Raw genomic sequence first — 13,441 nt, 5'->3', positions numbered from 1 at the left:
GAAAAAAAAACTCAATAAAGGGATCAGAATACAGTCTCTTCCACAAAAAGATGTAAAACAGAAAAGAGAGAAAATAAGAAAACTGAAGTGTCAGTCCAGAAAGTCCTACATCTTTTTTTTTTTTTTTTTTAAGACAGAGTTTCACTCTTGTCGCCCAGGCTGGAGTGCAATGGTGCAATCTCAACTCACTACAACCTCCATCTCCCGAGTTCAAGCAATTCTCTTGTCTCAGCTTCCCTAGTGGCTGGGATTGCAAACATGCACCACCATGCCCAGCTAATTTTGTATTTTTAGTAGAGACAGGGTTTCACCATGTTGGTCAGGATGGTCTCGAACTCCGGACCCCAGGTGATCTGCCTGCCTGGGTCCGCCAAAGCACTGGGATTACAGGCGTGAGCCACCACGCCCAGCCAGGAAGTCCTACATCTGAATAATAAATTCTAGAAAGAGCAAACAGAACAAAAAAGTGGGTAAGACACTATGATGATATTAAATATTCAATTAATATCCATGTTTACTGAAAGGCATGAAATTCCACATTGAAAGGGCCCTTCAAGTACCCAGCATGATTGATAAAAATAGACTCACACAAAGGACCATTGTTATTAAATTTCAGAACACTAGAAACAAAGAGAAACATCCTACAAACTTCCAGAGAAGAAAAAACAGGAATCAAGGTTTCAAATAATTTACTTCCCATGTACCCTTTCTCAAGAAACTATAGGAGGGAATGCTCTACCAAATCCACAGTAAATCAAGAAAGAGGACTTGAGACATAAGAACCACGAAAAAGCCAGCACAAGGAGAAGCCGTCTCCCCAGGAGGATGGTGAGGGGCACCCCAGGAGAGCTGTGCACCAGGTGCTCAGGGAAAGTGGTTGGGCAGGACGTGTGAAGAGTTCTCCAAGGAGGTAAATCCATAGAATGCCTCATGTGCCTGAACATAGAAGGTGATTAAGGCCACTGGGGAAGAGTTTGGGGTTGAAATACTAATAATACAAAACTTTAAAAGTAAGGCAATTATTAATGCCAGGGAAAACAAAAAGTGGTACAGGAAAGGAGAATTTATCATTAATTCAAGTCTCAGCTATGAACAGGGTTTATGTAATCACAGTCAGAGAAAACAGATCTAACCAAAGTTATATCTATATGGGAGTAATAGTGGGGATAGAAAAGGTGAACGCATTGTGATAAGAGGCAAAAAGACAGACAGAAACTAAATCTTCATCTTCCTTAGAAGTCATTAGATAATTCCTCAAGCTCATAAGTCAGAAAGCAGCAAGACAGTGTGGCATTGGGAAGTCTGGATGTAAATCCTAAAAGGATGTGTCGAAAGAGCTTAAAGTGAAAGCCACTGAGGAGGGAACAATGAAGAACAAGGGGACAGGAGACCATTGGATTTTTGTTAGTTTTTTTGTAATAAATCTTTGAATACATATATTTATATGTAAATGTATATATAGAGAGACTACATATAAATATATATGATTTTTATATATGTATAAGATATATAACTTTAATATAAATTATACATCTAATTTTTGTATATATAACTGTTAAGAAAATAATACATATGTATAACTAAGAAAGCAAAAATATTGTGAAATATTGCTTACCAAGTTATTATATATTTTAAAAATTCTTCTTTATTATCAAACTATAGGTAAATTATAGAAGTATTTCATTAGATATTACCCATTACATTTGAACAATATAAAAGAATCTGTTTTCATATTAAATTATTAGTCTATTTAGGTGTACATGATAATTATCATAGCATATATAAGTACTGATTCCAAGTGTTTTTGGCCAATTTCATTTCACAACATAATATAAATTACTGGTGGTTATACAAAGTACTCACCAGCTCTAGTGGACTAAGACGTGTGCCAGAGATAGGCCTGGAATCAGATGACTCAAAACTGGATGCATGGAGGCTAGCATAAAAGATGGTGCAGAGTGTTAGTTTGTGAAGAATTATTTCTTTATTTATAGTATATATTAGTTAACCCTAGCTAAAAAACAAGTAAAAGGATGCAATGCATAAACCATGAGGAAAAACATTTTTTCATGTTATTGTACTTAAAACAGTTGATTAACAAGTCTTTTGATTACTTTTAGGAAGTTTAAAAAATACTGAATAATGAAAAGAAGAAGTGTATAGAGTAATTTTTTAAAAAGCTTTGTTCATATCACTTTATAAAGCTGGTATGGGACAACTGCTAGTAACCATTTCATTCCAAAGTAACTTCCTGAACCAATGTTTGTAATTACTTTTAGGAATTTTGAACAAAAGTCAAATTTAAAAAGACAACTACCTTGAAAATCAATCAATGTAATCTATCACACCACAAGCTAAAGAAGATACATAAAATACAAGCTAAAGAGAATACATATCAGCAGATACAGAAAAAGCATTTGGCAAAATCCAACACTCATTCATAATAAAAATTCTTAGCAAACTGGGAATAGAAGAAAACTTCTAAGAATATCTACAAGAAACCTACAGCTAACATCATATTTTATGATAAGAGTTTTCCCACTAAGATGAGGAAGAAGGCAAGGATGTCCCCTCTTACTACTGCTTTTCAGTATCATACAGAACATCCCAGCTAATGCAATAAGACAAGAAAAAGAAATTAAAAGCATACAGATTGGGACGGAAGAAACAACTCTTTCCAGATAACAGGATTATCTATGTAGAAAATCCTAAAGAGCTGACAAAAAGCTCCAGGAACTAATAAGTGATTATAGTAGGGTTGCAAGATACAAGGTTGGAAACTGAAATGAAAACACATTATCATTTATATTAGCACTCCAAAAACTAAATATTTAGTTATAAATCTAACAAGATATGGATAAAATCTAGATGAGGAAAGCTATAAAACTCAGTGAAAGAAATCAAAAAACTAAATAAATGAAGAGATCGTCCATTTTCATGGCTAGGAAGACTCAATATTGTCAATATGTCAGTTCTTCCCAACTTGATCTATAGATTCAATGCAATCGCAGTCAAAATCCTGGCAAGTCATTTTGTAGACATTGACAAACTGATTCTAAAGTTTCTATGGAGAGACAAAAGACCCAGACTAGCCAACACAATGTTGAACAAGAAGAACAAATTAAAAGGGCTGACACTCCCTGACTTTAAGACATATTATAAAGCTACAATAATAAAGACAGTATAGTACTGGTGAAAGAAAAGACAAACAGATCAATGGAACAGAATAGAGGGCACAAAACTAGACTGACATAAATACAGTCAACTGATATTTGACAAAGGAGCAAAGGCAATACAATGGAGAAAACATAGCTTCTTCAAAAAATGGTGCTGGGCTCTTTCGCTGAGGTGGAGGCTCAGTGTATTCAAGATCCACCTTCCCTCATAACCCATTGCCATGGCTGAGGAAGACACTGCTGCTGGAGGTGCAGTGGATGTTAATACTGCTTTAAAAGAGGTGCTGAAGACCACTCTCATCCAGGTCAGCCTAGCACAAGGAATTTGCGAAGCTGTCAAAGCGTCAGACAAGAGCCAAGCCCATCTTTGTGGCTTTCATCTAACTGTGATGAGCCTGTGTATGTCAAATTGATGGAGGCCCTTTGAGCTGAACACCAAATCCACCTAATTAAGGTTGATGACAAGAAACTAGGGTAATGGGTAGGTCTCTGTAAAACTGACAGAGAGGGAAACCCCATAAAATGGTTGGTTGTAGTTGTGTGGTAGGACTATGGGAAAAGTCTCAAGCCAAGGATGTTATCAAAGAGTACTTCAAATGCAAGAAATTAACAAGTAAAACTTTGGCTCATATTCCTAGAAAAAAAAAACAGTGCTGGGACAACTGGACATCTAGCATCTACATGCAAAAACAAAAACAAAAACAAACAAAAAACAAACCTAACACCCTTTACAAAAATTAACTCAAAATGGATCACAGACCTAAATGTAAAACACAAAACTATAAAATCTCTAAAATATAACATAGGACAAAGTCTAGAAAACCTTGCGTATTGCGATGACTTTTAATATACAACACCAAAAGCAAGATCCATGAAAGAAAGAATTGATAAGCTTGACTTCATTAAAATTAAAATTTTCTGCTCTGCAAAAGACACTATCAAGAGAAGAAGAAGAAAAGCTGCAGAGCAGGAGACAACATTTGCAAAAGACATGTAAGATAATGAATTGTTATCCAAAATACATAAATAATTCTTAAAATTCAACAACACAAACAACCCATTTAAAAAATGGGCCACAGACCTTAACAGACACCTGACCAAAGAAGACATACATATGTAAAATAAGTATATAAAAAGATGCTCCACATCACATGTCCAGGGAAAGTAACTTAAAACAATGAGATACCACTACACACTTATTCGAATGGCCAAAATCTAGAACACTGACAATGTCAATGCTGGCTAGGATGTGGAGGAACAGGATCTCTCATTCATTGCTGGTGGGAAGGCAAAATGATATAGCCCCTTTGGAAGACAGTTTGGCAGTTTCTTACAAAGCTAAACGCAATCTTCCCATATGATCCAGCAATCATGCTCCTTGGTGTTTACCCAAAGGAGTTGAAAACTTGGCCGGGCGAGGTCGCTCACGCCTGTAATCCCAGCACTTTGGGAGGCAGAGGCGGGTGGATCATGAGGTCAGGAGATCAAGACCATCCTGGCAAACATGGTGAAACCCCGTCTCTACTAAAAACACACAAAAAAATTAGCTGGGTTTGGTGGCGGGCGCCTGTAGTCCCAGCTACTTGGGAGGCTGAGGCAGGAGAATGGCGTGAACCCGGGAGGCAGAGCTTGCAGTGAGCTGAGATCGTGCCACTGCACTCCAGCCTGGGCAACAGAGCAAGACACCATCTCAAAAAAAAAAAAAAAAGAAAAACAAAAAGAAAGAAAACTTATGTCCACACAGAAACTTACACATGGATGTTTATAGCAGCTTTATTTGTAGTTGCCAAAACATGGAAGCAAATGAGATGTCCTTCAGTAGGTGAATGGATAGATAAACTGTGGTACATCCAGACAATGGAATATTATTCAGCACTAAAAAGAAATGAGCTATTCAAGCCATGAGAAATCATGGAGGAAACTTAAATGCATATTACTAAGTCAAAGAAGCCAATCTGAAAAGGTGACATACTGTATATTCCAACTATATGACATTCTGGCAAAGGCAAAATCATGGAGACAGTAAAAAGATCAGTGGTTGCTAGGGGATGAGGGAAGGAAGTGAAAAATAAGCAGAGTGAAGAATTTGTAGGGCAGTGAAACTACTCTGTATAATACTATAATAGTGGTTACATGTCATCAGAAATTTGTCCAAACACATAAAATGTACAACACCAAGAGTGAACGCCAATGTGAACTACAGCCTTTGAGTGATAATGGTGTGTCAAAGTATGTTCGTCGATGGTAACCAATGTACCACTCTGGTGGGGGATGGTCATAATGAGATGCTGCAGATGTGTTGTGGTAGGGGGTACATGGGAAATCTCTGTACCTTCCACTCAATTTTGCTGTGAACTTAAAACTGTTCTAAAAAATAAGTCTATTTTTAAAAGCTAACCTTAAGTAGAATTAAGGGAAGGTATAACCTGGTGCTTAAATATCTGAATGAACATGAATGTGAAATGCCATATACCTGAAGGAGGAAGGAGGTCTATTTTCTGATGTTCTTGAGGATGCAGGTCCGAATAGTTTTCTTTGAGCCTCCTGTGGTGTAAATGGTCTTTGGGTTCTAACTGTTCTTAATGCATTTCTTGCTTCACTTATGATTTCTGCACTGGTCTTCTGCTTGGACACTGAAGGTTGATAAAATGGATCCAGTTTTCCTAACATTTTATCATTTGGAGACAGCATCTTTCCTTTGAAAGTAAAATATTCTTCAGATAGACACCACACCCTGCAAATACATGGTACAAAAACCATCATTATTTTTGTCCAGGACTTTATAAAAACGAATGCTTAAGCCCATCCATATACTAAATCATTCCTCTATATTAAGCTTTTAAAAATCCACCAAGCAGTTAGAAGGTTAGGATCTGAGAACAGCTCTCAAAAATGTAGAGAGGAAAATTTCCTCAAAAATATACAACTGAGGACAAAGATGTGCAGGAAAGAAAACCAGGATGAAAGCTAAACCCAGAGAGAAAGACTAATCATGAAAGAAGACAGAATAGGAAGAGCGAATCATCTCATGGTCTTCAGCCTACAAAAAACACTGAGGGTTCTGTTAAAATGTTTACAGTTTCCTTTTCTTCCCCACTGCCCTCCACACTAGTGATACTATAAGGTTACATTTTAGACAGAAATGTTGTATTTCTAAAGGACACTTGATTTTGCAACAAACCTCAGAGAATAGTTCAGCCCCACATTTGTCCATGATATAACTGAATGAATTGATTCAACTCACCTATAATTTGAGGTAATGACCTAAGTAAATAAATACCAAATATCAATACCAACTGATCCTTTCCCAACACCCCTTCCTGAAAGAGTTAAAGTCATTACAAGGGCCATGAGAATGCAGATCCTTCTCAAATGTTGGTGTGTTCCATGGAGACAAATCTGAACTTTAAAATAGGACAGATTTTTAAAATGTAATTCTAATGAGTATATAGCATTAGGTGTTTCTTAAAAAAAAACTCAAAGTCCATAAAATGTCATATCTCTAAAGAGACAGAGATCTATGAATTTTTCACCTATTTCAGCTACCCAATTTTAGAATAACTTCTGCACAACAGAAAACTGCTTTGTGACACATGCCCCAGGAAACTAAAAAGATTCCATTTCTATAAGTAGAATCAACAGGTGATTCCTTAGACAAATAAAGATTTACTATATTATGATTCTAAACATTGTTACATAACAACAGACAATAAGAACATTTGTTTCCTTCTACACAGGCCCCACCCCAAGAGTTTCTGATGAAAACTATAAACAATATGTCATACTTTTCATATGGAAATGCCAGGTGTTGAGTTAAAACAGTAAAAAAATTACTTGATAAGCAATACTATTTTAGGAATTTTTGATACAGGATTTTGAATTTAAGCACAGTCTCTACAATTACATTCATTAATATAACTATCAAAAATGATGAGAGGCCTAGTACATTTTATTTCCAATACTTTTGAAATGATTGGCTTTTACTTTAGAATATTCAATCATAATTATTTAAAATATATACACAATTTTTTATATCTACATATTGTATATTATTTTTGGATGCATAATACAAATTCAGTCCCGTAACATCTAACTTAAGCAGCCATGACAGGTTTGTTGGTCTGTTTCTAAAAGACCTATTGCAGTAAGAAATTATGCCACTAAGTGAGAAGAGGTTTCTGTATAATAAACAGGCTTCTTCCAGAGCCTAAATCAGGTTTGCCACCCCTTTGGCCTCACATGGCACTAATAAGTCTAACAATGTCCAAAAGTAATCTGGCAAATCTAATAAAGATTAGAGAAAGTTCTGTGGGGAGTAATAATAGACTCTCACTCCTGACCTAAGGTTCTCTCTGGCTATCTTTGAGTTTGCATTAAAAACTATACTCTTTCAGAGAGTGATGAAGCAGGAACATTTACTCAGGTCAAACTCTAAAAATTCTGTGAATTACCTGGGGGCATATAGGAATTTAGACTGACCAAATACTATACTGATAGAAACAATGTAGATACAGGGCTAAAAATATTTTTGTCTACAAATTTTTACCAAAAATTCTAACACAATTTTCTCTATCCTTCTTCTTTTTTCCACCAAATCTCACTTTAACAATTATATTGTGAGAAACTTGTACAATAATGTAAAATCTGCACAATGTTATGATCATATATTAATATTCACTAAATCAATCATGGAAATATTTAATAATACATGTGAACTGACTTAGAAGAATTAGAAGTGGGGCTTTGGGGGGAGGATTTTTAAATTGATATTTGTTAAACTACAAATTATTATAGATGGTTTTTGCCAACTTGAAAAATTAATCACTCAGGACCTGAAAGCTTATCTACTTAAAGTATACCTGAACCATAACACAATAGTCCTACAGAAATTCTAACTTTACAAAATTTTCCTTCCAAGTAGAGCAAATCCACTCAGCTAGAAGTACTGATTAACTGTTTCCTATGTGCAAAGCCCTCTGCTTAGATCTCTGGGAAACACAGAAGAGGAAACACAAAGAGGAATAAAAGACCGTCTTCACTCTCAAGCAAGAAGAACCACTAATGTGAGATAAACATTTACTTTAACACCAAGCACTGTGCTAAGTACTCTTGACTGCATTATCTCAATTAACCCCACAACAATTTTGCAAGGTGGATAGAATCTTTTAAAAAATAATAATAATAACTAGAGATGAGGTCTCACTATGTTGTCCAGGCTGGTCTCAAACTCCTGGGCTCAAGCTATCCTCCTTGGCTTCTTGAAGTGCTGGGATTACAGGTGTGAGCCACCATGTAATCCATGGTCTGGACAGGGTCTTAAGCAATACAAAAAAAAAAGCTATGATATATGCCCACAGATAATATTCAAACTCTTACCCACTAGATGGCTGGTAGGAGGTGGGGCACTTAGAGGCATTGGGGCTGCAACTATTAACCCATTCACACAGAGACCCCAATATTTTCCCAACAGGAGCAGCCTTCCTGGTACGTACCCAGTGAGTATTTACCCTGCTTATACTCAAATGATTTAAATACAAGGTAGAAACTGATGGCAGCAATAAAAACAATAGAGACAAATTACTTATGTGATCACAAAGGAAGAAGAGATTTCTGATTGGGGGAAGACATCAGGTAGACTTCCTGGAAGAGGTGGTGCTTGAGCTCGGTTGTGAAAGAAGGGCTGAATTTGAGCAAGTGGCAGTGGCTGGCACTGGAGCTGGAGTAGAGAAGGAAGTTCCAACAAAGTCGGCAAGTGAGCCAGCGCAGAGCATCAAGACATACAGGGTGTGTGTGGACAAGAGGGAACTCTGAAAATGGCCATTGGGGCTGAACCAAATAAATTAAATGGCGAGAAATCAAAAGTTGATGAGCAGATCAAATACAACATTTTGAGGGATGATGTGATCTGGCAGAGATGGGCAGGAAGGAAAGGAGGGCAAAGATCAGAAGTAGTGAAATCAGACAGTTTTTATGTAATCACCCAGCTAACTCTCAAAGGTCATTTCCTCAAGGAAGCTTTCCTGGACATGCCTCTCCCACCCTGCTAGCCTGAGTTAAGTGCCCCTCGTCCAGACTCCAAAAGGCCCCGGGCTGGTCTCTGCCACTCCACTCTCCCACTGTGTTAGAATTCCCTGTACATGTGGTGTTGGCCCGAGACTCTCTGCCCCAACCGTCCACGTGAGGCACAGCTGAAGGTCAACACTTACGTAATCACTAGACTCCATTTTTAAATATAGACTTGAGCTAAGACATTTTCAGATGAAGGCTGCATAGTTTCTCTAACTGGAGATATTTGTTACAGTGAATTATGAAATCTGGACCTTATTTCAAATCTGATTTTTGATGTTATGTGGTCAGATGAGTTCAGATTTAGCCTCCTTTCCCTGTCTTGCCTTTATTTCAAGTTGCCTGGCACAGAGTAGGACTCAATGTTGTGACGAATGAGTGAAGTACGGAAAGCCTGAGATACAGGAGTCAAGGTGAAGCAGAGGTTAGAGGAGAGATGAGAACAAGTGAGGTGCACTGAGAACAGAATTAACAGGATTTGGCATCCATGATTCCAGGAAGAGGCCAGAAACAACACTAGGTATGCAAACCTAGGGGAGCCAGAGGGCAAGGGACCTTTTAAAAGAAACAGGAGGAGAAGCTGATTTCAAGAGGAAAGAAGAAAGAGGCTGAGTTCTGTCTTGCATCACACTATCCTGAGTCCATGGTATCCACAGGACCTCTAGAGGGTGAACACCACCAGCAGTAGGAAATTTGAAAGTGAAGAACTTTTTTTTCAACAAGATATTTCCTACTGGTCTGGGTGAAAGCTCAGAGTCATAATTTATAGAAGTTTATAACTAATTATAAAGACCTGTCTTTATCGTTGCTGCTAATAGCCACTGGAACCAGAGCCTTCTTGCTAAATGCAACACTGCACTACCAGGATGTCTGCAACAGGGGAAAAGCAGGCCAGCTTCACAGTCTTCCCTGCAAATCAAATACTCAGGACCCTTCCATAACTCTGAATCATTTTTGTATTAATATGAGCATCCAAAGAGGCAGTGGTTAAGTGCTTAGATGCTGGACTAAGGGTTTAAATGCTGACAATTCACAGCCATGTGACCTTAGGCAATGCCTCTAATATCTCTAAGCATCAGTTTCCTCATCTATAAAAGGTGGATAGTAATAATAATTGCCCCATAGGATTGTTTGAAGAATTAAATGATATAATACATGTAAAGTGCGTTAGCACAGTGCTTTAAAAATGTTAACATTTTAAAATATGGCCCTTAAAGATGTTAACAATTATTGCCCAAGTGCTACATGATAAAAGGATACAGCAAAATCATTTCCACGAATGAAAAACTACATTTAAAAAAAGAAATTGCAAAAGAGAGAATGACGTTTGTTCAGTGTTTCTATACATAAGTTTTTTTTTATTATTATACTTTAAGTTCTAGGGTACATGTGCACAATGTACAGGTTTGATACATAGGTATACATGTGCCATGTTGGTTTGCTGCACCCATCAACTCGTCATTTACATTACGTACTTCTCCTTTTAAAAGGTGGGTGGTGGTACTTGCCTTTATGAAAACAGATAATTTTTATTAAGCATTTTATTGAATATCAGCTATGCCAAATCAACATCAACAACCAGAATCCCATAGATTAAGAAACCAGGATAAATATAATAAATGGTGCTTGCTTTTCAACCAAATTAAAGTATAATTATTATAAATCAGGGTGGGACGTAAGATCTGTTGTGTTACTTGTGGGAATGGATCACAAAAGGCATTATGTATACACTCCATGATTTTAAAGTATGTTAAATATTGTTACACATACGTTTTTATTTATTGAGGCCCTGTTGCCTGGAAGTGCCCAGATATAAACTGTATGACTCTGGCCCGGTCACCGCCTGCCTAGACAAAGCCCCTTAGTCTACCACTCTCATTCAACAAATATTACTGGGCTTCTTATTAAGCACCACGCACTTGGCTAAGTGCGACAGTACATAAATAAAAGACAACCGCTCCGGACCCCTGACAGCATGCACAGGGCACTCATCGTCTCTCTACCCCATCCGAGGACACACAGGCGGACGACGGCAGGAAGGGTCCCTGGGGAGCCGCTGGGGACACCTCACCTCCCGCTCGGACAGCGGCTCCCCCACCCACGGCAGTGCCCGCTCCTCCACGGTCCCGGCCAGGGCAGGGCGCAGCAGCATCCTCACCCCGCCCGGCCACCCTCCCACTTCGCCCCGCAGCCAGCGTCTCCATGGTAACCGTACACAAACTACCTCCCGCCGCCGCCCCGGCAGCCAGACCGCAGGGCCAGGCCGCTGCAGGGCGGGAGAGGCGGGCCGGGGAATGAGCTTGGCGAGGGCTCAGGGAAGGAGGCTTCCGACCTGACCCAAAGCACCTGTGATGAGCACTGGAGATAGCAGCGGCTGCGAGGTTCAATTCATCCTCCGGCTCTCCCCGGGTAGCGGCCAGGGATGCAGCGCTGGCGCGGGCGGGGTAACCCCACGACGCCGCTCGGCCACTGGGCCTGCGCGGGTCCCGCCAACGCATGCGTAGAAGCTCCGAGGCGTGGCGACGGCCGGAGCGGGTGGGAGGAGCCTGGAGAGGGCTGTAGGCCGGGAGGTCAGATCAGAGCAGGCGTCGTGGGCGGGTGTCCGCTTTTCGTTTAGCAATTTGCCGAACCACATTTGTTGCTCCCCTGCCGGATCCCAGCACCTCTGTTAAATAACAGCAGGCAGGACGGAAGCTTAATGCTTGTGGGTAAGAAGGATTTACTGGCTCAGGTTAGGGCTCTGTATAACCTGGAGCCACTTGCTGAGCTTCTGTTTCCTCCGATGTCAAGTGGCAGGAAATATTAATAATAGTACCTAGGTAGGTCTTGGGCTGTTATGAAGACTGCATGAGAAAATAGATGTAAAGCGCTATGCACGTGGCAATCAACGAATATTAAACTGTTGGCTGTTATTAAGCCCTTGCATTTGTACAGCCCTTCAGTTCGCAGAGTGTATGCACGTAATCGTACCTTCTGAGTCTGAGGTAGGCAGCCTGGCGTCCCCATCCACAGGAGAGGAACTGGGGGCCTGAGGTGTAGTGAGCAGGAGAAGGAGATTCCAGTCTAGGTCTCCCGTGGCCAATCGTTTTTTGTTCGTGCATCATCACAGTTGAACGGCAAAAAGCACTCCATTTATGTGTTTCTAGTTTAAATTCCCTTTTCTCCTGTTAGACCATTTAGCAACACTGTACAGTGTTAAATAAAAGTGAGATCATAAGCACTCTCCATTCAGGTTTGCACCACGTTTTATAAATATGGAGATTTTCCAGCTGAAGTGCTATTTGTCATCAACACTGGGAAAATGCCACTTCCCTTGGTGCTAAGCATCTTGTAAAGAATAATTAAATTGAAAATATTTTTGAGCACATACTATGTGTAAGGCATCGTGCCAGGTGGGAAATTATACTAACCTGAACTAAAGGAATGTAAATATTCTTCAAAATACTCAAGAGGATTTCAAACATAACAGAAAATAAATACCTATTCGTTGATTGGATAATTTTAGGACCCGAAACAGCCCTGGATTTTTCTGCTCATTCTTAGATAACTGACAGTCTTGTTGTAACTAAATCTCAACCACAGCTTCATTTCAAAACTATAATGTTGGGTGCAAGATATAAACAAATGCATCAAACTTCAAAAAGTCTTCCTCCCCCATTCCAGCCCCAGGCTTAAGGTCTCTAGCTGGCCTTCCCTGAAGGGGTGCACTAGGCTTAGGCTTGTCCCCGACCCCCACCCGCCCCTCTATTCACTAGAGGTTGTTTAAGGCCCAGCTTGGATCAAACTGGCAGTGAGGAGGAGGAGGAGAAGGAAGGAGATGGAGCATTTCTTCCTGGAGTTGAGCAGCTTCAAGCTTGCTGTGCTGGCTTATGGTTAAAGCAGCTCATGTAGGTCTTTCCTGGTCCTTTGTAGTCTCCCACTGATGGGGACCTCCCTCCTGGGGGCTTCTGGAAATCCTAAAAACCCAGGGTTTATTCCACCTTTCAGTGCCCCTTTAGATAGGTCCCAAGGGAAACCCTACACATCTGTTACCCTAGTGATTCTGAGAGCTCAGGCTTGTCTGGGTGCAGCCCCTTCTAGGCTGCCATAGGAGGGAGCTTTAGCTTACCCAGGAGTGAGTCAGGCTCCAGTTCTCCAGGCCACCTAACTACAGTCTCTGGCAGTCCCAGGCCCCTGGGGAAGCCCCTCTCGCTGGCTTG

At 39.8% G+C, this 13,441-nt stretch overlaps 1 protein-coding gene and 1 pseudogene across 18 annotated transcripts in view, besides 1 other annotated feature; one reads left to right on the top strand and one right to left on the bottom strand.

The window, feature by feature from the left end:
• The window catches only part of ARMC2 (armadillo repeat containing 2), a 204,619-nt gene extending 192,906 nt beyond the window's left edge, over positions 1-11,713 (bottom strand). For 11 of the 18 annotated variants that reach the window (XR_007059340.1, XR_007059341.1, XR_942600.1 and 8 more), the window contains exons 1-3: positions 11,589-11,713; positions 5,650-5,910; positions 1,864-1,936 (exon numbers count right to left, since the gene is read on the bottom strand). Coding sequence is in view for 11 of the 18 variants with exons in the window: in XM_047419396.1 (XP_047275352.1) it covers positions 1,864-1,936; positions 5,650-5,867 (291 nt within the window). In the remaining 7 variants the exon portion in view is untranslated. Of the gene's footprint in view, positions 1-1,863; positions 1,937-5,649; positions 5,911-8,379; positions 8,492-11,313 lie in introns of those variants that run through there. The other 7 variants (XM_006715573.3, XM_011536166.2, XM_005267154.5 and 4 more) reach the window with 7 other exon arrangements.
• Positions 3,398-3,782, top strand: RPS12P13 (ribosomal protein S12 pseudogene 13; annotated as a pseudogene).
• Positions 11,356-11,455: a silencer, noted in NCBI's record as "silent region_17455". NCBI's record gives its function as "represses an Ori minimal core promoter by ATAC-STARR-seq in GM12878 lymphoblastoid cells {active_cell/tissue: GM12878}" and the evidence as "EXISTENCE:reporter gene assay evidence [ECO:0000049][PMID:35858748]".
• Positions 11,714-13,441: the final 1,728 nt, after the last annotated feature.

The sequence above is a fragment of the Homo sapiens genome, chromosome 6 (assembly GCF_000001405.40).
Source record: "Homo sapiens chromosome 6, GRCh38.p14 Primary Assembly".
In the NCBI taxonomy this organism is placed as follows: Eukaryota; Metazoa; Chordata; class Mammalia; order Primates; family Hominidae; genus Homo; species Homo sapiens.
This window is presented reverse-complemented; position numbering and strand designations above follow the sequence as displayed.